Source organism: Homo sapiens, chromosome 8 (assembly GCF_000001405.40).
Source record: "Homo sapiens chromosome 8, GRCh38.p14 Primary Assembly".
In the NCBI taxonomy this organism is placed as follows: domain Eukaryota; kingdom Metazoa; phylum Chordata; class Mammalia; order Primates; family Hominidae; genus Homo; species Homo sapiens.
In genome coordinates, this window is record NC_000008.11 from 103695588 (window position 1) to 103719928 (window position 24341).

General features: G+C 34.6%; 1 protein-coding gene across 47 annotated transcripts in view, besides 3 other annotated features; it reads left to right on the plus strand.

The window, feature by feature from the left end:
- The window catches only part of RIMS2 (regulating synaptic membrane exocytosis 2), a 755485-nt gene that overhangs the window by 194978 nt on the left and 536166 nt on the right, over positions 1–24341 (plus strand). For 24 of the 47 annotated variants that reach the window (NM_001348491.2, XM_047422475.1, NM_001348495.2 and 21 more), the window contains one exon: positions 1499–1709. In NM_001348491.2, the coding sequence (NP_001335420.1) occupies positions 1499–1709 (211 nt within the window). Of the gene's footprint in view, positions 1–1498; positions 1710–20721; positions 20734–24341 lie in introns of all 47 variants that reach the window. The other 23 variants (NR_145710.2, XM_017014015.3, XM_017014010.3 and 20 more) reach the window with 1 other exon arrangement.
- Positions 11662–12163: an enhancer, noted in NCBI's record as "H3K27ac hESC enhancer chr8:104719477-104719978 (GRCh37/hg19 assembly coordinates)". NCBI's record gives its function as "activates a minimal SCP1, AML or CMV promoter by ChIP-STARR-seq in naive and primed H9 embryonic stem cells {active_cell/tissue: H9 hESC(naive and primed)}" and the evidence as "EXISTENCE:reporter gene assay evidence [ECO:0000049][PMID:30033119]".
- Positions 11774–12068: an enhancer, noted in NCBI's record as "tiled region #13468; HepG2 Activating non-DNase unmatched - State 12:CtcfO, and K562 Activating DNase matched - State 12:CtcfO". NCBI's record gives its function as "activates a minimal TATA promoter and a strong SV40 promoter by Sharpr-MPRA in HepG2 and K562 cells {active_cell/tissue: HepG2 | K562}" and the evidence as "EXISTENCE:reporter gene assay evidence [ECO:0000049][PMID:27701403]".
- Positions 12164–12663: an enhancer, noted in NCBI's record as "H3K27ac hESC enhancer chr8:104719979-104720478 (GRCh37/hg19 assembly coordinates)". NCBI's record gives its function as "activates a minimal SCP1, AML or CMV promoter by ChIP-STARR-seq in primed H9 embryonic stem cells {active_cell/tissue: H9 hESC(primed)}" and the evidence as "EXISTENCE:reporter gene assay evidence [ECO:0000049][PMID:30033119]".

Here is a 24341-nt window from a genome sequence, read left to right on the forward strand (position 1 = left end):
CTGCCAATGAATTTCTTCAATATGTGTCCATCTGGAAAAGTTTTTATTTTTAAATTTTATTTATTTTTATAATTTTTATTTACTTATTTATATTTTTTAAAGCCTAATTTTACTGTGTATGAGATCCTGGGTTGACAGTTTTTTTTTGTTTGTTTGTTTGTTTTTCTCTCAATTTATAGACATCACTCCAAAGCTTTCCAGCTTGCATGGTTTCTCAAGAGTAATCTTCTCTAATTCTTATTGGGTTTCACTATACAATGTGTATTTTCTTTGGCCACTTTCAAAGGTTTTTCTTTATCTTTGGGTTTTAGCAGTTTGACTATGAAGGCAGACTAGGGGCATGTGTTTATATTTGGTAGTTGATTTGACATTTGTGCTTCCAGGGATTCTCTGAGGTTCTTGTGTTTAATTTGTTGTCTCTCATTAGTTTTGGAAAATTTTTGGTCATAATCCCTTCAAATATTTCCTTCATTTCCATTTTTTTTCTGTGAACAATTACACATATGGTAGGTTGGGTTAACTCTTGGATGCACTGTTGTTTTATATTCCCCACCTATTTTTCTTTTTCTTTTAGTTTGGATAATTTTTATTGACTAATTTTTAAGTTTATTTATATTTGCCTCAGCACTTTCAAATCTACTCAAGAGCCCCCAAAATGAAGGAATTCTTCATTTTTAATAGCATGTAAGTTTTCTTCCATTTGACTGGAGTGCCTATCTAGTGTTTTTTCTCTCTTTGGATTCTTTTTAATCACTCTGATTGAGACTGTGTCTCAGTGATTTGAAGTTCATAGGTCTTGGCTTCACTGTGTAAGTCAAATTAGCTTTCTGTATTTCTGAAGTTAAATGGTAGAAAAATAATATTGTAAATATTTTAGAGCATATGATTGAAAATGTACTCCAAATGGAAGATAGAAATTTAGAAATATAATTTCAATAAATATTTCCATAAACATATTATATTAATTGGTTATTTAATATGTATATTAGAAGGTAGAGACTGGGTATGGTGGCTCAGGTCTGTAATCATAGCACTTCAGGAAGCCGAGGCAGGCGAATCCCTTGAGGTCAGGAGTTCGAGACCGGCCTGGCCATGGCGAAACTGCATCTCTACTAAAAATATAAAAATTAGCTGGCGTGGTGGTGTGTGCCTGTAGTCCTAGCTATTCAGGAGGCTGAGGTGGGAGAATTGCTAGACCCTGGGAGGCAGAGGTTGCAGCGAGCCAAGATCGCGTCACTGCACTTTAGCCTGGGTAACAGAGCGAGACTTCGTCTCAAAAAAAAAAAAAAAAAAAAAAAGAAGGTAGAACTAGTTGCAATACTTTTACAAATAATGTGCCATGAAAAGTGTTAATTTATCATCAGAAAATTAAATTTTCATTCTTTTTATTCTCATCTTGTATTTTTTTGGTTATAAAACTGTGTCTATAAATTGTGATAATTTTTCCTTTAGAGATCATCAGGAAACCAACTTTTTTTCTTATCTATTTTCTCTGCAGAAAACTGCATCAGCAGTTTGAAATGTATAAAGAGCAGGTAAAGAAGATGGGAGAAGAATCACAGCAACAGCAAGAACAGAAGGGTGATGCGCCAACCTGTGGTATCTGCCACAAAACAAAGTTTGCTGATGGATGTGGCCATAACTGTTCATATTGCCAAACAAAGTTCTGTGCTCGTTGTGGAGGTCGAGTGTCATTACGCTCAAACAAGGTACAGAAATGAAAATTACAGTTCTCTTCTAGTTAAGCTTATTGTGTTTATCTATTCACGTTAGAGAGTATGTTAATTCAACCCAAATAATATTTTGTTGAAATTAGCAAAAACATTTTAAAATGCTTGTGGCCAGACACGATGGCTCACGCCTGTAATCTTAGCCCTTTGGTAGGCCAAGGCGGGCGGATCACTTTAGCCCAGGAGTTCTAGACTATCTTGGGCAACATGGTGAAACCCTGTCTCTACGAAAAAAAAAAAAACAAAAAAAACCCACAAAAATTAGCCAGGCATGGTGGCGGGCCCCTATAGTCCTAGCTACTCAGGAGGCAGAGGTGGGAGGATGACCTAAGCTGGAGAAGTCAAGGCTGTGGTGAGCCATGATTGTGCCACTGCACTCCAGCCTGGGTGACAGAGTGAAACCTTGTCTCAAAAAAGAAAAAGTTTGGGCAGGGTGCGGTGGCTCAAACCTGTAATCCCAGCACTTTAGGAGGCTGAGGTGGGCGGATCACAAGGTCAGGAGTTCGAGACCAGCCTGGCCAATATGGTGAAACCCCATGTCTACTAAAAATACAAGAGTTAGCTGGGCATGGTGGTGTGTGCCTGTAGTCCCAGCTACTCAAGAGGCTGAGGCAGGAGAACTGCAGTTCAGCCTGGGCAACAGAGACTCTGTCTCAAAAGAAAAAAATTTGTGTCAGTAAATTCTTTAGACTTTGCATTTATCTACTTACTAATCTTATCACCTACTTATTTATTTCAGTAGTTTTTAAATAGGAAGCTATTTTTTTACATACATTACTTAGACATAATGGTGGAAATTCGTTTCCCTATGTGATTTCATTTCTTCATTTTCTTGTTAATCCCCATTTTTCATTATTTTGTTTTGCTAAGAACTAACCACTTATAATTGTTTCCCCTGGATTACCTGATTATGATTTTTTTTCTTGACTAGGTACATTGGCTAGAAACTGCAGTATAATTTTGAATAAAGTGGATGAAAGCAGACGTTCCATTGTATTGTTCTTAATCTTAGGGAGAAAGCCTTTAGTCTTCACTATTAGGTATAAAGTTAGCTGTACGCTTTTCACAGATGCCATCTATTCCTACTTTGCTGAGTTTGTTGTTGTTGTTTGGTTGGTTTTTTAAGATCAGGAATAGATGTTGGATTTTGCCAAATGTGTTTTCTCTATCTGTTGAGATTAATCATATGTTTTTTATTTTGTTTTTTAATGTGGTGAAATACATTGGTTGATTTTTATATGTTAAATCAGCTTTGTATTACTGGGATAAACCTCATTTTGTCATGATGGATTATCTCTTTTATATATTAATGGATTTGATTTGATCATTTTTTTGGGGGATGAGTGTCTTGCTATGTTGCCTAGGCTGGACTTGAACTCCTGGGCTCAAGTGTTCCTCCTGCCTCAGCCTCCCAAGTAGCTGGGACGACAGACACATGCCATGGTGCCTGTCTGATTTAATAAAATTTTGTTTACAACTTTTGCTTCTATATTCATGAGGCATGTGTCTGTATTTTTCTTCCTTGTAATGTTTTTCTTTGGTTTTGGTATTGGGATAATGCTGGCCTGATAAAATGTGTTGGGAAGTATTTCCTCCTCTTCAACATTTTGGAAGAGATTGTGTAGAACTGGTAGATTACACCAGTGAAGCCATGTGGGCATGCAATTTTATTTGTTGGGAAGGTTTTTAAGTAAGGTTTGTTTTCTTAATGGATATAGGGTTATTCAGGTTATCTTTCTTGAATAAGGTTTCATTGTTATATCTTAGTTTGTCTAGTTCCTCATAAATAGCTGAATTTATTGGCCTAAACTTGTTCATAGTATTCCATTATTAGTCTTTTAGTATCCATGGAATCTGCATTGATGCTACCTCTTTCATTCCTGATATTGGTAATTTGTATCTTTTTTGTTCCTGCTCAACCTGGCTAGAGAAAGGATCTTACTCTGTTGCCCAGGCTGGATTGTAGTGGCACAGCCACAGCTCACTGCAGTCTTGACCCCCTGGGCTCAGGTAATCTTGTCACTTTGGCCTCCCGAGTAGCAGGAACTATGAGTGTGTGCCACCATGCCCTGCTAATTTTTAAAATTATTTTTGTAGAGATGGGGTCTTGCTGTGTTGCCCAGGCTGATCTTGAGCTTCTGGCCTCAAGCAGTTCTCCCACCTTGGCTTCCCAAAGTGCTGGGACTACAGGTGTGAGCCACCACGTCTGGCCCAGATTTTTTGTTTTATTGATTTTTCTTTGTTGTTGATTTCTGCTTTGATCTTTTTTTCTTTTTTCGTTTCTTTTCTTGTCTTTTCTTTTTCTGCTTACTTTGGGTTTAATTTTATCTTTTTTACTTTCTTAAAATAGAAGCTGAGATCATTGCCTTGAAACTTTTCTTCTTTTGTAAATTAGGGGTCACATGCTATAAATGTTCCCTAAGTACTACTTTACTGGCATCACCACAATTCTCATGTGTTGTTTCTTCATTTTATTAAGTTAAAAATACTTTCTCATTTTCCTTTTCTTCTTTGACATAGATAATTTAGAAGTATGTTATTTATTTTTCAAATATTGTGGGGTTCCTAGGGATCTTTTTGTTAATGATTTCTAATTTACCTCTCTCGTGGTTTTAGAATATACTTTATATGCCTCAAATTCTTTGGAATTTGTTGATACTTATTTTATGGCCCAGAATATGGTTACTTTGGTAAACCATGTGCACTTAAGAAGCATGCATATTCTTCTGTTTTTGGCCAGAATATTTTAAAATGCCCACTCAAGGCCAGTTTCGTTGATAGAGTCATTTAAATCTGTTATCTCACTGTTGATTTCCTGCCTATTCTATCATTTGTTAAGAGAGGGGTTTTGAAATATATAATAATATGTGGATTTGTCTATTTCTCCTTGGAGTTCTATTAGTTATAGTTTTATGTATTTTTAGCCTCTGTTTTTAGGGACATAAACATTAGGATTGTTATATCCTCTAGTTTAACAGGCCTCTTTATCATTATTAAGTGATATTCTTTATTTTTGGTAATATTCTTTGCTCTAAAATTCACTTGGTCTAATACATGTATATAGACCAAGTACTCTCTCTTTCTCTCTGTCTCTCTGTCTCTCTCTCTATCTAGATGTATATTTGGAAATGGAATTGCATATATGTATTGGGTTAGGTATTAACATAGTATATGTTCTTCTATTATTTTACTTAAAATTTATTTGTTTGAAGTACTTTTCTTATAGCCAGCATATAGTTGGATCTTGCTTTATTATTCAACCTGACAGTCTCTTCCTTTTAATTGGATGTTTATAAAATTTACGTTTACTGTGATTATTGATATGGTTTCATTTGATTACATCACCTTGCTTTTTTGATTTTGTCTTATGTCATCTGTTCTTTGTTTTTTCAATTTTAGCCTTTTTTGAGATTACTGAAGTATTTTTATGATTCATATTTTCTCCTTTGTTGGCTCAATAGCTGTAACTGTTTTGTTATTTTATCAAGTTATTCAAGATTTGTAGAATACATATTTAAATTATTGTTGTCAACCTTCAACTGATATTACACTATTTCATGTGTATTATAAGAAGCTCACAGAAATGTTGGATTCTATGTTACTGGTGTCATATTTTACTTTTATTCATTTTATAAACCCCACAATATATTGTTATTCTTTTTGTATAAAGAGTTTATCTTCCATGAGTTTCAAATATTAAATAATTTTTGAAAAGATCTATATTTATTCTTGTAGTTATTTCTGGCATTATTTATTTCTTTTTGTAGATCTATAATTATATCTGGTATCACATTTTGTCTGTCTTAAGTATTTCCTTCAGTATTTCTTGAAGGGCAAGTCTGCTGCTGATGAATAGTTTCAATTTTTTCATGCTGAAAATTTTGCCTTCATTTTTTAAAAAGATATTTTTGCTGATTGTGGAATTCTTGGTTAACACTTTTTGTATTTCAGTATTTTTAAATTAAAAATTTATGGATACATAATATTTAATAGTCGTACATATTAATGTGGTATATGTGATAATGATAACAACTGTACAATGTGTAATGATTAAATCTGGATAATTGGGATATCCGTCACAGTAAACACTGACCATTTCTTTGTGTTGGGAACATCCCAAATCTTTTCTCCCAGCTATTTTGAAATATACAGTGAATTACTGATAACCATAGTCTCTTTCTTGTTGTAACTGAGCACTGAACTTCTTTTTTCTATCTAACTATATTTTTGTACCCATTAACCAACCACTCTTTATTCCCGCTTCCTCCTACCCTTCCCAGCCTCCAGTAATTACCATTCTATTTACTACCTGCATGAGATCAAATTTTTTTTTTATTTGCTCCCACATGTGAATGAGAACATGTGGTATTTGTCTTTCCGGGCCTGGCTTATTTTACTTAACATAATGACGTCCAATTCCATCCATGTCACTGCAAATGACAGAATTTTATTCTTTTTTAGGGCCGAATAATATTCCATTGTGTATATATACAACATTTTAGAATCCTTTCATCTGTTGATGGTCATTTAGGGTGATTTCATATTTTGGCTATTGTGAATAGGCTTCAATAAACAGAGTAATACAGGTATCTCTTCAGTATGTTTATTTCCTTTCTTTTGGGTACATACGTGGTAGTGGAATTGTTGGATCATATGGTGGTTCTATTTTTAGGTTTTTTATTGAGGAACCTCTATACTCTTCTCCATAGTGGCTATACTAATTTACATTCCTACCAACAGTATACAAGTGTTCACCTTTCTCTGCATCCTTGTTAACATTTGTTATTTTCTTTTTCATAATTGTGATTTTGATGAGGGTGAGATGACATCACATTGTGGCTTTAATTTGCATTTTTCTGATAATTAGTAATGGTGATCATTTTTTCATATACCTGTTGGATATTTGTTTGTATTCTTTTGAGAAATGTCTATTTATATCTTTTGTCCATTTTTAAATCTGATTATTTTTTATTTTGCTATTGAGTTGTTTGAGTTTTTTGTATATTCCAGTTATTAATCCCTTATTGGATAGATAATTTGTAAATATTTTCTTTCATTGTGAGGGCTGTCTCTTCACTCTGTTGATTGTTTCTTTTGCTGAGCATGATCTTTTAGCTTGATGTAATTTCATTTGTCAATATTTGCTTTTGTTGTCTGTTTTTGAGGTCTTATTCAATAAATATTTGCCTAGACCATGTTTACTTCTTTTTGTAGTAGTAGTGCCACAGTTTCAGGTCTTAGATTTAAGTCTTTCTTTTGATTTGATTTTTATATACAGTGACAGAGTTCTAGTTTCATTCTGCTAATGGATATTTAATTTTCTCAGAACCATTTGTTTAAGAGACAGTCCTTTACCTGGTGGATATACTTGGTGCCTTTGTTGAACATGACTTAGCTGTAGATGCATTGATTTATTTCTGAATTCTCTGTTCTTTTCCCTGGGTCTATGTCTGTTTTTATGCTAGTACTATGCTGTTTTGGTTACTCTAGCTTTATAGCATATTTTGAGGTCAGGCGATGTAATTCCTCCAGCTGTTTTTTTTTTTTTTTTTTTGTATTTTGGCTAAGAATTGCTTTGGCTATCTAGCATCTTTTTGGTTGCATTAGAATTTTAGGACTTCTTTTTTCTGTTTCGTGAGGAATGTTGTTGGGTGTTTTTGTGAGTTTGTTTTTTTTTTTTTTGAGACAAGATCTCAGTTTGTCACCCAGGCTGGAGTGCATTGGAGCCGTCATGGCTCACTTCAGCCTTGATCCACTGAGCTCAAATGATCCTCCTGCCTTGGCCTTTTGAGTATCTGGGACTATGATATGCATCACCATACCTGGCTAATTTTTTGATTTTTTTTGTAGAGATGAGATCTCACTATGTTGTCCTGGCTGGTTTCACTCTCACACTTCCGTCATTGTTTTTGTTTGTTTGTTTGTTTGTTTTGTTTTTAAGACAAAGTCTTCCTCTTTTGCCCAGGCTGGAGTGCAGTGGCACAATCGTGGCTCACTGCAGCCTCTACCTCGCAGATTCACATGATTCTCCTGCCTCAGCCTTCTGAGTAGCTGGGATTACAGTCGTACACCACCATACCCAGCTAATTTTTGTATTCATAGTAGAGACAGGGTTTCGCCATATTGGTTAGGCTGGTCTCGAACTCCTGACCTCAAGTGATCCACCCATTCAGACTCCCAAAGTGCTGGAATTATAGATATGAGCCACCACGCCTGGACTTCATTGGTATTTTATGTATAGCATTGAATCTATAGATTGCTTTTGGTAGTTTCAACATTTTAACAGTAGCAATTCTTTCAATCCATGATAATAGGATACTTTTCCTTTTTTTTGGTATTTAATTTATTTCATCAGTGTCTTATAGTTTTCATGGTAGAGATCTTTCTCTTCTTTAGTTAAGTTTATTCCTAGGTATTTTATTTTATTTTTGTAGCTACTATAAATGGGATTGCTTGTTTGATTTTGTTTTCAGATTGCTGCTGGCGTAGAGAAATGCTACTGATTTTTGTATGTTGATTTTGTATCCTGTAACTTTACTGAATTTGTTTATGAGTGCTAAGAGATTTTGGTGTCATCTTTACGGTTTTAACATAAGACTGTGTTATCTGTGTAAAAGTCTAATTTGACTTCTTCCTTTCCAATATTAATGCCTTTTGTCTATTTCTGTTGCCTAATTGCTTTTGCTAGAATTTCCAATACTATATTGAATAAAAGCGGTGAAAGTGGGTATCCTAGACTTGTTCCAGATCTTAGAGGAAAGACTTTTAATTCTTTCCCTTCCATATGGTGCTAGCTGTAGGTTTGTCAAATATGGCCTTTTTTATTTTCAGGCATGTTTCTTTTATATCTAGTATGTTCAGATTTAAAAATCATTATTAAATGCTTTTATTGGAATGTACTAACATGGCTGTATGGTTTTGGTCTTTATTTCTATTATTGTGGTGTGTCACATTTATTGAATTGTGAATGTTGAACCATCTTTGCATTCCTGGGATGATTGTGGTGATTGATCTTTATAATGTTTTATTCAGTTCAGTTTGCTAGAATGTTTTTGAAGATTTTTGCATCTATGTTCGTTCATCAGAGATAATGGCCTCTAGTCGTCATTGTTGTTGTTTCTGTGTCTTTGCCTGTTTTCATTCTCAGGTTAATACTAGCCTCATAGAATGAGTTTGGAAGTAGTCTCTCCTCTTCAAAACTTGTTGGCAGAGTTTGAGTAGGATTGGTATTAATTCTTCTTTTAAATATTTGATAGAATTCAGCAGTGACTCCATCATGTCTTGGGCTTTTGTTTGATGACAGACTTTTTATTATGGCTTCAATCTTTTTACTTATATTGGTCTGTTTAGGTTTTCCATTTAATCATGATCCAATCTTGGTAGGTTGTATGTGTCTAGAAATGTATCCATTTCTTGTGTATTTTTCAATTTTTTTGCATATATTTGTTCACAGTAGTCTCTAATGATCCTTTGTATTTTCATGGTATCAGTTTTAATGTCTTCTTTTTTATCTCTGATTTTATTTATTTTGGACTCTTCTTAGTTTCCTAGTGAGAGGTTTGTTAATTTTGTTTACATTTTCAAAAAGCCAACTTTTCCTTTCATTTTTCTTTTGTGTTTTTTGACTCAATTTTAGTTATTCCTGCTTTTTTATTATATTTTTTCTTTTATTAATATTGGGCTTGATTTATTCTTGCTTTTCTAGTTCTTTAACATGCATTATTTGGTTGTTTATTTGAAGTCTTCCTACTTTTTTGACTTAGCCATTTATTGATGTAAACTTCCCTCTGCTTTACTGGATCCCACTGATTTTAGTAATTTAGTATTTCCATTTAAATTTGTTCCAAGACAATTTTTAAATTTTCTTCTTAATTTCTTCATTGACTTATTGGTTATTCACAAGCATGTTGTTTTATTTCCATGTATATGTACAGTTTTCAACATTCCTCTTTTTACTGATTTTGAATTTGTTCCTTATGGTCAGAAAAGATACCTGATATGATTTTTACTTTTAAAATTTCACTATGACTTGTTTTCTGGCCTAAGATATGATCTGTTTTGGAGAATGTTATATGTGCTAATGAAAAGAATGTATAGTTTGTCACAGTTGGATGAAATATTTTGTAAATGTCAGTTAGGTCCATTTGGTCTAGAGTTTAGTTTAATTCTGATTTTTTGTTGTTGTTGCTTTTTCTGCCTGCGTGCTGTGTTCATTACTAAGAGCGGGGTGTTGATATTCACCAATGTTATCGTATTGCAATCTCTCTCTTCTTTTAGATGTAATAATATTTTCCCTATATATTTGGGTTCTATGACATTGGTTGCATATAGATTTACAGTTTTTATATCTCTTGAATTGACCCCTGTATCATTAAATAATGCCATTTTTACAGTTTTTTACTTGAAATCTAATAGCTTCTGCTGATCTGTTTTGTTTTCTACTTACATGGAATATCTTTTCCATGCATGTATGTCTTTAAGCAAGTGAGTTTCTTCTAGGCAGCATATATTTGGATCTTTTTTTTTTTTTAAATTCATTTCACTCCTCTGTCTTTCAAGTGGGGGATTTAGGCAATTTACATTCGATAGTATTATTGATCAGTAACCACTTACTACTACCATTTTAAAATTCGTTTTCTAGTTGCTTTGTAAGTTCCTTCTTCCTTCTTTCCTACTGTCTTCTTTTGTGGATAAGTCATTTTTTTTTCCTGGTATTATATTTTAATTCCTTGCTTTTTATTTTTAGTGGACCTATTATAGGTATTTCTTCGTCGTTTCTATTAGCTTACAAAATATATTTTATAGTTATAGAAAGTTATTTTAAACTGATGACAACTTCCCGTGGATTTCAAAGAAAAGAATCAAGCAAGCAAAGTGAAAACTACACTTTAGCTTCATTTCCCCATTTAGTTTTTGTTATCTCACATTTTATCTTTTAAATATGCCTTTCTTTCAACAGATTGTTGTAGTTATTACTTTTGGTAAACTTTTAGTCTTCATACTAAAGACACTACATGCCACAATTACAGTTTTAGTGTAGTCTGAATTTGTCTGTGTAGTTACTTATACCAGTGAGTTTTATACCTTCACAGGATTTTTTTGGATGATTGTTTCTTTTTTTTAAAAAAAAATTGATTAACTCCCTTTTGCATTTCTTGTAAAATAGGTCTAGTGGTAATGAATTCCCTCAGGTTTTGTTTGTTTGAAAACTTTTCTCCTTCATGTTTGAAGGATTGCTGTGTTGAGTACAGAGTTCTCTGTTGCAAATTTTTCCTCCAGCACTTTGAATATGTCACCTCACTTCCTCTTGGCTGCTACATCTGCTGCTACGTCTGCAGCCAGGTGTATTGGAGTTTCTTTATATGTTATTTGCTTCTTTTCTCTTGCTGTTTTTAAGATCCTTTCTTTGTCCTTGATGTTTGAAAGTTTGATTATTATATGTCTTGGAGTAGTCTTATTTGAGTTGAATCTGCTGGTATTCTTTGACCTTCTTGTACCTGTATATCCATCTTTCTCTAGGTTTGGAAAGTTCTCTTATTATTTCTTTAAATACATTTTTTACCCAATCTCTTTGTCAGCCTCCTCTACAAGGCCAATAACTCATATATTTTTCCCTTGTAGCCTGTTTTCTAGATCATGTAAGTGTACTTCATTTCTTTCATTTATTTTCTTTTTTATCCTATGCGAATTTTCAAATAGCCTGTCTTCGAGTTACTGATTCTTCTCCTTCATCAATTCCACACGGAGACATTCTAATGCATTTCTTTTAATCATTGATGTTTCCAGCTCCAGGATTTGTTTAATTAGTTCAGTTTCCATGCTGCCTTTTTTTCTGATAAATATCTGAATTCCTTCTCTGTGATTTCTTGAAGTTCATTGAGTATCCCCAAAATAGGTATTTTGAATTCCTTGCTTGAGAGATTATGTATCTCTATGACTCCAGGGTTGGTTACTGGGAACTTATTTAGTAAATTTGGTGAAGTCATATGTTCCTGAATGTTCTTGATGCTTGTGTATGTTTGTTGATGCCTAGGCATTGAAGACTTTAAGTATTTATTCCAGTCTTTGTAGTCAGGCCTTGTTCCAGTCCTTCAGAGGGTCTTCCAATAATTGTTAAGGGTACTGAGTATTTACTTAAGCCTGTGGGTAACTGTAGCCATTTCAGCACTAGAGGGCACTCTAAGCCCATGTGTGCTGCAAATCCTCGCGATCCAGCCCTGGTGGACTTGGGGAAGATAAGGTTCCCAGGCAAAGTCTTTAGCTTTCTTTTCTCCCTTTTCCCCAAGTGAAAGGGGTCCCTCTCAGCACTGTGTTGCCTGGAGTTGGGGGATGGGTGACTCGGCACTGCTGTGACCATAGCAAGTGGCACCATGCTGGGTTATATTCCAATCCCATGGCGTCTCAAATCAGCACAGTACAGGGGCTTGCCCAAGGACCCTGGCCACTATTGCCTGACTGCAACTGATGTTTACTTAAGGCTAAGGCCACTGTAGTCAACAGGCGGTGAAACCTGCTGGGACTTGGGTTTGTACTGCCAGGGCAACATATTTCCTTTTGGCCTAGGGTGCGTCTAGAAGGACCATCCAGAACCAATGGCCAACTGGGAGCTTTGGGATCCTGCCTGGTGGTTTATTTTAATGTAGCTGGGCTGGTACCCAATTGTAAGAAAAAGTTTCCTCTGTTTACTCTAAGAAAAAGGAATCTCTGCACTGTATTGCCTGAAGTCGGGAGAGGAGTGATGCAGGCATTCTCTAATGGATACCACCAGAAGGTTTCATGCTGGGTTGCACTTGGAGTAAACAGCCTTCGAGAGTAGTGCAGTGGCAGGGTTCACCCAAGGACTGCAGTTGCTATGGCCTGGATGCCACTGAAATTTATTCACGGCTCAAGGCCACTTTTGTTAGCCTGTGGTGAAGTGGACCGGGATTTGGGTTCTTCCTGCTGGGGTGGCAGATTCTCTTCTGCTCCAGGACTTGTTCTAAATACTCCCTCCATGGGCACTTGTGGAATTCTGCCTGGTGTTAATGTTCCACTCTAAGCATATATTCTTTCCTCTGGCTGTGCTCTCTAGGGTTGGGTGAGGAGTGGTGTAGACAGTGCTGTTCTTTTCATCCTCTTCAATGCATCTTTTCTTGTTATTACGCTAAAACTAGGTATGTGATCTCTCATGTGATGTTTTAATTTTCATGAAGGTGCCTTTTTGTGTAGATAGTTGTTCAAAGTTGATGTTCTTGCCAGGGACATGATCACAGGAGATTCTCTTTCACCATCTTGCTCCACCTTCCCTAAATCATTCTCTCTTTCAATATTTTAAATGTACTGCTTTTCTGCCTCCTCCCTTTCACTGTTTCCATTGAGAAATATATCATTCTCATCTTTGGTTTTCTGTGCATAATGTAGCATTTTTCACTTGCTGCTTAAGTATTTTTTAACACTAGTTGTGTGCAATTAAATTGTTTTTTTGGTGTATTTTTCTTTGTGTCTCTTTGGTTTGAGGTTTGTTGAGGGCCTGGGGGAATTTTGGCCATTATTTTTCAAATATTTTTACTGTTCCTTCCTTTCTCTAGACAGCTTCAAGAACTCCTGTTCCCAGTATATTAGGCAGCTTGTAATTGTCCTACAGCTCACTTATGTTCTTTCCTTTAATCTTAGTTTTATTTTTTTCCTTGTGTTTTATTTTGTATTCTTTATATTAATGTGCATTCAAGTTTACTGGTCTTTCCTTCTGCAATGTCAAATCTGCTGTTTATAAAATTCAGTGTATTTTTTAATAATCACAGACATTGTAGCAATGTCAAATCTGCTGTTTATAAAATTCAGTATATTTTTTAATAATCACAGTCATTGTAGTTTTTATGACTAGAACTTTAATTTGGGACTTAAGATATATTCTATGCTCTGTGTAACTTTAAAAACATGTAGAATACAGTTATAATTATTGTTTCGATATTCTCTTTTGCTAATTCTAACCCCCCTTGAGTCTGGGTTAGTTTTGATTGATTACTCTCATTACGGTATGTGGGTTTTTTTTTTTTTTTTGTACTTTTTTCATGTGTGGTATCTTAGGTTGGATGACAGGTGTTGTATATTTTACTTTGTTGGATGTTGGCTATTTTTGTGTTTCTGTAACTTCTTGAGCTTTCAGATGTAGTTAAGTTACATGGAAACAGTTTGATACTTTTACACATTCTTTGAGGGTTTGTTAGGTATATTTGGAGCAATGCTCAGTTTAGCACTAATTATTCTCCTCTACAGAGGAAAGACTGAGTCTTTAACCAATATCCCATGAATTAGGAGTTTTTCCAGTCTTGCTGGTAGGAACAACTATTTTCTTTCTAATTCTTTTAGATATTCTTTTTTTTTCTTTAACCCCATTCCCTTGAGTATTTTTCTCATATGTATGTTCACCGATCATTACTGAGCTGAAGACTTGAAGAAACCCCTGGAGTTCTCTTGGGTTCTGTCTCTGTGCAGCTTTGTGTATCAACTCTGTCTCTTTATATGTTGAGGGTTAGCCTGATAGGGATGGTTTATGGAAGAAGGATGGAGCCAGAGGCAATACTCCCCACTTATCTTGTATTTTCCTTAAGTCTGAGGATTTGTAAAGATAGATTTTAGCTCAAGGAAGACATCCCTGGATTTCTTTCATTAGTTTTTCTACATTTTTATTCAAGCAAGAGACTTGTCATGTATAAAACTTGCCTATATTCTAAATAAAAAGACTCTGGAATGTATTTTTTTTTCAAATTTGATCATCATGCTTAGTTGCCTTATGTAGAAGGCTTTTGTTCCCAACAGGTACTAAATACATTTCTTTGATTTTTCATAGCCCAAAAGGATTAATCTCAGTGAAAGTTGGTCTTACTAAGCTTATGAAATAGAATAATGAGAACACAAATATTATATAGCTTATGATTTAATTATAAAGCTATTTAAAAATTCTCTTAGTAATCTTTTAAGGGAATATAATAAAATAATCTTTTGTTTTAATTTTGAGGCTCTTTCATGTGGAGCCATCCTTAACATTTAGTTAATTCTCTTGAGGTACATTTAGGACATAGAAAATAAATGAAGGGCAGGACATATGGAAGTACCAACACAACAAAATTTTACGAAATATCGGTTCTCTTTGTTTCCTTTTCAGATTATACCCTCTTAATAAATAAAAGCCATATTTTTAGTCAAGTGAAAAAATAATGACTTCATAAGAAAACAATTATTTTGTAATTATTGGATAGTGATGTTAGAAAGACATTAAAAGTAATTTACAATAAGGATTATTTTAAGCGTCAGAGTGTGGCAACTTTAACTTTTTGTTTCTTTTACTTTTTGGTAAGAAAAGTATATTACCACCTGCTTAATCACTAATTTAGAAAAAAATAAATAATGTACATTTCCACAGTTGTATTATTTAACTTAAAATGTAACATGAATTTTTTCACTTTATAAATTATCAGATTTGAAGCATAATGACATAATTTTATAATGGTTATAAAGGAAAGTGATTTTTAAAAATTTTATTTTATTTTTAGAAAGTGATTCTTAAGCAAGTTCTTTGAAATATATTGATATACATTGCCAATTTGGGGGTTGTTTCTCTTCAGGAATCTCTGATGAGTTCACAAGTTCTTTATACTCTGAAATATATTACAGTAGTCTTGAAAGTGAGATAGTGTATCACCTACTGTGGAAGGAACGCTTTTTGGGAGTAACTGGTGTGAATAACTTCAAGGGCAAAGATTTTAGTAGCATATTCTTAAAGTTGATCTACCTTAGAACACTATCTTTTTTGTGGATCTTTCTTTTTCAACTCACTTTTACAATTGTTCTATTTTTCAAAAGAAAGGTACATTCCTCAGCCTTACCTATTCTGAATCTAGCTTTTATGTAGTACATTGGCTCAGGGTGTAGAAATCTCTGGGGCACCACACAAAGTGACAATTCCAGAATGTGTTGTCCTCAGGGAGAGTTCAGAGGCAAAGCAATGAGAAGGTTTGTAAGAAATATAGAAGAGGGCAGCGCCTTATTTCATTCAGGCAACAGATTTTTGGCAAGATTCTATTGCCTCTTCTATTGTTTTTAGAATTAGAATTTGGATGTGAGATGGCCATTTGTGAATCATTATAATAGCAATTTTAATTTAAAAATGAAGTTGGACTCTTTTTGATAGAAAGCCAGATTTGATGGTTTAACAGTGTGGAGTGGTTTGCCAAATGGGTTCTATAGTAGACATTTGCCATATATATTCCGTGTATAAGCTAAATATGCAGCTCCAAGATTTGATGAAAATATATCAGGCAGGTGCGGTGGCTCAACCCTGTAATCACAGCACTTTCGGAGGCCAAGGTGGGGTGGATTTCTTGAGCTCAGGAGTTTGAGATCAGGCTGGGCAACATGGTGAAACCTCATCTCTACCAAAAATACAAAAAATTAGCTAGGCGTGGTGGTGAGTGCCTGTGGTCCCAGCTACTTGGGAGGCTGAAGTGGGAGGATCGCTTGAGCCTGGGAGGCGGCGGATGGAGTAAGCCAAGATCTGCCACTGCACTCCAGCCTAAGCAACAGAGCCGGACCCCATCTGAAATATATATATATATATATCACACTTTTAAAATGTACTTTTACAATACCCAATATATCTGAAAATGCATCCTAACCATTTAAACTTTATTTTAGTTTTCAATTTTTTTTTTTAGAGATGTGGTTTCACTCTGTCAACCAGGTTAGAGTGCAGAGGCACAATCACAGCTCACTGGAGGCTTGAACTCATGGGTTCAAGGAATCCTCCTGCTTCAGCCTCCTGAGTAGCTGAGACTACAGGTGCACACCGCCTCACCCGCTTAATTTTTAAACTTTTTTTTTTTTTTTTTTTTTAAATAGAGACAGGGTCTCGCCACCTTGCCCAGGAAATAGTCCCGAACCCCTGGGCTCGAACAGTCCTCTTGCCTTGGCCTCCCAAAGTGCTTGGATTACAGGTGTGAGCCACCATGCCTGGCTTAAAACTTAAATGTTAATTTAAAAATATGTAGGAGTATATGGTTTTAGAGATTTATTTTAGATTAGAGAAAAAATACTCTTAGCTCACTGGACATATGGCAAAGGCAAGGTATGCTTGGTTGTTGGTACATCTACATATGAAAGCTGCTTTTGGTATCCACTTGTTCCTAATCTCTTGGTGTCAAGGATACTGCTTTGTACATGATGTGCTCATCAGTAGTTAAGCTCCTTATCAGTAGATAAGGTGAGTACCAAGTTAAATAGATTTCATTTAGCATATATAAGGAAGATTAATAATAGAATCTATAATGAATTCTAATCATAATAGGAGACTATACAACAGTTTAAGATATAAAAAATTCATGACATCACCAAAACTGCAGGATGGTAAAACAGACTGTAGATACAGAAACACAAAGGAAATGGAAAGCAGGCAAGACATGTAAGGTGGGTTAGACATTGGTCATGAATTCCTTTATCCCTTTTAAATGGAATATCCAGTTAACTTTACCCAATTTCTTTTCAAGGATTCCTAACAGAAACCTTTAATTTCAAACATAAGCAAAAAGTAAATGAAAAATAAAAGAATTTTTTTGAAGTTAAAATAAAAGTGTAGTAATAATCCTTATTTTTAACTTATTTTATGTAAAAATCCATTAAATAGGACATTGGATTTTTCTTTTCCTTCCTTCCTTCCTTCTTTTCCTCCTTTCCTTTCTTTCTTTTTGATGGATTATCACTCTGTTGCCCAGGCTATAGTGCAGTGGTGCAATCTTGGCTCATTGCAACCTCCACTTCCTGGGTTCAAGTGATTCTCCTGCCTCAGCCTCCTGAGTAGCTGGGATTACAGGCACACACCACCATGCTTGGCTAATTTTTGTATATTTAGTACAGACAAGGTTTTGCCACTTTGGCCAGGCTGGTCTCGAACTACTGACCTCAGGTGATCTGCCTGCCTCGGCCTCCCAAAGTTCTGGGTTTACAGGCATGAGCCACCATGCCCGGCCTAATATCTTGTGTTTCTAAGTCCTTTGCGGTAAATACATTAGAATACTGCTGAATCTCACTTAGTCCAAGCAGACTTTCTATGTATTTCCTATTGCTGGAAGAACCCACAAATCTACACCTCCTATAATTTTCAACTTTTTAATTGGCCCTATTTTCCACTTTGTCATCTAAGCCAGAAAGGTAGGAATCATCTCAGATTTCTTTCCTTTCCCCAAATTTTTTTGATTTTATCATTTCCTGTCTCTCTATGTAAACTACGGATGCTGTCTTTTTTAGGTTCTTATCTTCTGTCACCTAGACTAAGGCCAATCTTCTAATTGGTCTCTCTGCTTCAGTTTTGGCCTGTTAATCACATCCTTCAAATACTGCTATAGTGATTTGTAAAATGCAGATTTGATTATTTTTACCTTCTGTTTAAAAATGATTCAGTGACTCCTCATCACCTGAGTGAAGTTTCTAATGGCATAAAGAGTCACCGCTCTCTGATTTATTCCTTGCCTAACTCTAGGCATGAGCTTCACTCCATTCTAGATGTCTTAACCAGATTATACTACTTACACTTCTCTTATTTCTGCCTTTTTTTCTTTCTTCCTGAAATACTTCTTTTATCCCCTCTAGATCCCACTCCCAGTCCACAATTCTTACCCACTTGATGAGCACTTACTTATTTTTCTGGATTTAAGCATCATCTCCTTTATGATGCTTTCTTTGGGTATCTCCTGTGAATTAACCACTCACTTTTTTGTGCCACACTGGATTCTTCAGACCTCCAATCTAGTACTCTCAAAAGTGTATTATTATTAATTGATTAGATCTGTTTAATTCCCCTTGACTGCTGTAGGCTTCTATGTTTTGGCACATAATGGGTCAGTGAATTAATGGAACAAAGAAGTCTAGTGTACTTACTATGGGCATGTTATTATGGGATAAGCATTGCATTTAAGTCCAGCTCTTTGCTGTAGCTCAGCACTGTGATAATGTTTTATGGAAGATAACAATCTAAACTTGTGGATGAATTAAAAATATAAACTATACAGACAGAATTTAATTGTTGTTATTCTTGGAAAAAAGAAGACCAGCCTTGAGAGAGAATATTGTAGTGGTGTGAAAGAGAGGTATTTTTGGGTTGATTAGAGAAGGTAGTCAAGAAGTGAGAGGCAAGTGATGGTAGTTTAACTATATAGAATATAGAGCACTGATACAGAGGGAGGGATCAGAAAGATGGAATACCTCTATCTAAAGAAGGATTCTGAGGGGAAATTAACATTAGTTTCCTAGGAGACTGGGGAACTAATCATGGAAAGTTGCACAAAGAATAGTTATTGACAGATGATTTTGTCATATATAGTCTGAAATGATGCCACGATAAGAGGAAATATCAGAGGTGGAAAATAATGATAGAATCAATGATATATAAGTGATAATGAGAAGGTAGATTTGGGAGTAATACTTAAAGTAAATTGATCTTGTGGAGAGGAAGGGTGACTGATTATTAGAAGTGATAAGATAGTAAGGATGGCCATAAGGATGGTTGATTATGAGAAAAAAGTAGTTGGTATAAAATTTTTTTAGATAATAAAATAGGGTAAGATGTTGACTATTTAAAAGAAATTTTAACATGTAATTATATTATTAAATTTTTAATGAATATTCCTGGGCATACTTCAAGTTACCACTGGAGTTTCCAGGTCTAGTAATTATGACCTAAAATAATTAGCTGATCAATTAAATTACAGAGAAAAGAGATATAAAATCAACCAAGGACACTGGCATTATATAGAGGCAGCACTATTGAGTGGCTATAGTGCAAGATCTGAAGTGAGACAAGATGTTGTTTTTATTTTTAATTTTATTGTAAGTTTCAGGATACATGTGTAGGATGTGCAGGTTTGTTACATAGGTAAATGTGTGCCATGGTGGTTTGCTGCACCTATCAGCCCATCACCTAGGTATTAAGCCCAGCATGCATTAGCTATTTTTCCTGATGCTTTACGTCCCCAACCCCTACTGCCTGCCCCCGACCAACAGGCCCCAGTGTATGGTATGTTGTTCCCCTCCCTGTGTCCATGTGTTCTGATTGTTCAGCTCCCCAAAATGTGGGATTTTAATATAGGACTTTGCGATTGTCTTTCCTCTGAGTCACAAATGTTGTACTATCACCCATATTTCAAAGAAACAGTGATATCTCAAAACACATGATTTTGGTTTTAATTATTGTAAGTTCTTGTATCAGCCATTATTATTGCATTATCACTTTCACTGTTATCGTTACTTTATGTTAAAGAAAAGAGAAATGAAAGGAGTTTACTTTGTAGTGTATTTAAATCACCTTTTGACCAAAATATGTATTTTCTCATTTTATTTTCCACACTTATCATATTGGGAAACAGTGACCCCAAATTACCAGTGGTAATCAATAATAACAACTTCAAAAAGATTTTCTTTTTAGTTATATTAAGTATAAAAGACTTCTGAATAATTGGGACAGAGATAAACTTCAGAAACAATATGTGTAATTCATGAAAATTACATTTTATCTACTTTTGATAGTATATGATGAAATTAAACATTGATGCTATGTTTTTTATTGTCTTTGTATATAAAACTTTTTTCTTAAACATTTTTCAGTTTTTTGAGCTCAGTGTTTAACTGATTTTGTTTGTAGGAAGAGTATTCTTTTTTTCCCAATGTTTGGATGTTTAATTGCTGTTATGGAAATTATTTTGTTTATATATCTTAATATATTCTCTTATGTAGCATGCTTTTGCTTGAATTGAATGAAATGTATGGAAAAAAATCTCCCCTAAAATTTTTTAAAATCTAGAATTTTAGATTTCAGTCAAAATGTAATTTAGACATTTTCAGAATTTTAATTTCAGTAAGAAAACTTTTTAAAACTCTTACTTGTTTTAAGAATGGAATTAATTATTTCTTTTTTGTTTTGTCTTTTCTGTCTTTTCTAACTTGCTTTCGTGGATATTCACTCCAGGAGGACAAAGTGGTTAGAGTCTTTTTTTCTGTCTAATATTAGTTTTTCCTTATTGTTGTTATTGCCAGTTTTAATTTTATAGCTATATTTAATTTATATACTTCTCAGTGTTTTGTTATAGTTATGATGCATGGTAATTGCTAAACATTATGGCTTATTTAAGCATGCTATCTGCTTTTACTGAAAAACTTACATTAAATTATTTACACTTCATATATTATAGATGAAAAGTTGATTATTTGATTTTTAAAAAGGCTTGCCTTTTTAGAATTTAGCATTTTTTTCAAGGAAACCTCATAGTATTCCTCATTGTGATAAATTTCTATAATCTTCTATTATGCTAAACTCATCATTGCACTGATAAGGTTTTAAAATCTTAACCTTCTGACTTAGTATAAAGATTTAACTGTTATAATATTGAAGTAATAACACTGAATATGAATTTTCTGAAGTATATATTTGGCAGTTGATTATAAGTATTTCATGTATTTTATTTTTCTTATATGTTTTAGAATTTGGTAAAATGTTTACCTTATTATCTTCATGTTAAATGTTGGATGTATTCATACTTTAAAATACTCAGGTAGATACGACTAGACTACCGGCTAGGTTTTAATAATCTGCTAGTGTGTGCCCTTAGTGGTCTAATTTGAATTTGGATCTGCCATGGAGACTGATGACTCCCTGCAAATATAGATAAAAATCATTTTATCTGATTCTTTTGGATGAGTCAGACTTAAAGTTGAGGACTTTTCAAGTTTTCCCATTTCAAATTGGCATAAAACTCAAAGAGAATATCATTCAGCTGATAGTTTCTAAATAGTGCCTTCTTTTTTTTTTTTTTTTTTTTCTTTTACCAGTTGGAGCCTTTTTCTTCCTCTCCAAGTCTTTAGTTACTCAGTTGGGGATGATGTAGATGGTGGCAAATATCGAATGTGGGTTCAGAATAAAATCTCTTAGTAGAAAAAAGGTTACTGCAATTTCTTTCTTTTTCTTTCCTTAAAAAAAAAAAAAACCTGTAGGAATCCTCCCAAATTTTAGATGCAGTTTTGAAGATATATGGGTCAATTTCTGTAGACATGTCCCAGACTGTGCGTCATCCTTGATCTGGGACAGGTTCCCTAGAGAACCTATAAGCTATCTTCCAGCCCACCTGATTTTCTGACTCACAAGTAGCATAATTCAGGCAATTTATAACCTTTAGAATCTCTGGTGCTACTTTTGTGTCCAGAGTTAATGCAGGATGCATAATGGTCTAATTATTGTTTGTGGCTTCCACAATGAATTCTGATACCCATCCCAGAAATGAGGCACTTGATGATAAAACTCAGCTTTAGAAATGACTTTTATGCATTGATAAGATTTCATAATATAACAGTCTATATTTCAAACTAAATATTGACTACAAGATAAAAGTATAATTTTGTGTGGATTTGGGACATTGCAAATAAAATTCAGCAGGCCTTTTTATAATACTATGCATCACTGTTCAATAGGACTTTCAGCAATGATGAAAATGTTTTACATCTTCACTATCCAATTCAGTAGGTTCTAGTCACATATAGCTAGCTATTGAACACTTGAAAAGTGGCTGGTTGACTGAGAAACTGAATTTTAAATTTTCTTTAATTTTAATTAATTTTAATTTAAATAACCACATGTGGCTAATGGTTAAAGTAATCCTAAGTCTAGACAGCAAATTCTATGAGTTTTCAACTTCTAAGGCAATATACAAGCTCTTGAACTCATACTAGCAATATGATGTATATTCTAGCAGTGCATGTGAATGCCATACAGACTCTAAGAAGAGTATACTTGCTAGTCCCAATCGTATCTAATGCCAAGGAGGATAATAGGCAAGGGACATCCTGCCAAGGTAGAATCAAGGGACATGAAAGACAGTCATCAAGGGAAAATATCTAGATAGCTCAATCAGGGGCAGCTAGATAGGTTAACCAATGAAACTAAGCTATTGTTCATATATGGGTTGCTGTGTGCTATGGACAGTTGTTGCTGTATATTTATTATTGTTCATACTTCTGAATGAGAGTTTTTATTACAGTTACCCTGTTTTTTCTCAGTCATTGTGTATTGGGTGTATTGGGAACAGGTGTAATTTGTCTTCTAGTGTATAGTTGAGTGGTTCACAATGATGCACACTGGGCCATGATGGTAAGATTTGTTTTTCCTCAGAGATCCTGGATTTGGAATTAGATTTTATAACTAGATGAAACTTTGGGATTACCTCCTTTATGGAGGAGGTGAATGTATTACATGTAAAATATACATATGGAATGTTGAGTAGCTGAAAAAGGAGACTGTTTTTGACTCTGCTCAATGGCTCAACAACCTTTTTTTTTTGTGGGGGTGGGGAGGGAGGAGTCTCACTCACTCTGTTGCCCAGGCTGGAGTGCTGTGGTGTGATCTCAGCTCACTGCAATCTCCACCTCCCGAGTTCAAGTGATTCTCCTGCCTCAGCCTCCCAAGTGGCTGGGATTACAGGCGCCTGCCACCACCCCTGGGTACATTTTTGTGTGTATTTTTAGTAGAGATGGAGTTTTGCCATGTTGGCCCGGCTGATCTCAAATGCCTCGGCCTCCTGAAGTGCTGGGATTACAGGCATGAGCCACTGTGCCCCTCCTCCAACAGACATTTTTAACTTCCTTCCCTCTTGCAATCCCCACTAGATAGACTGGAAAAATATAAAATATTCTTAGCTTTCCTCTAACTGGGAATGGCTGTGTGACACAGTTCTAGCAAATGAGTTATAAGAAAGTCTTTGAGAGCTGCTGGGAGGTCATAAGTTAAAAAAAAATGTAGCTGGCACAACCTTTTAGTGCAAAAGTAATGTTTTAACTTGACCAGCCATTTGTGATGATGAAGGAAAGGCCAAGAGCACTGGAGTCATTAGTCATGACATTGTCAAGCCACTGATTCAATGTAATCAGATACTTTTCCCAATGTGAGAAAAATATTCCCTTCCCAAATTTGTTTCTGTCACCGGTAGTCAATGTTTTTTTGCTTCTTATACCCAAAAACATTCCTAATGGAAACACTAGTAAGATATGCAGTATGCAGCAGGGAAGCCATACAAACATCTAGAGTTGATTTTCTTCAGAAATGCAGAAGTGCAGTAAAGGAAGTGCATGATGATCATTGCCCAGTACTCATCTGTATGTTTTTGCCTCTATACATGTTTTAAGAAGTAGGATAATTTAACACATTTTCTCATTTATTACATATAAATAACCTCAGGTTGTTAGTAGTAAATTACTATGAACATGTTGGTCTTAGAGATTGAATTTTTCCTCAGTTATGAATTTTCTATTTTACATAGGATCAAAATAAAGAGAAATGAAATTTTTTAAACATAATTTAATGTTTCCCAGACCTTTTAGGATGCATAGAGCAAATAAGTAAACTTACACTGTATGGTAAATTATTTTCTCACAGGCCAGAACATATATCTAACTGTTCATCTGTTACTAAATACTGACCTAGGCATGTCTAGTGAGAACAACATGAAATTAAAGTTTTGGAACAAAATTAAGCCCATTTCACTGTCTAGAGGCGTATCATGTGTTTATAGAAAGGCAACTTTAATGTGGGTATTAAATTAT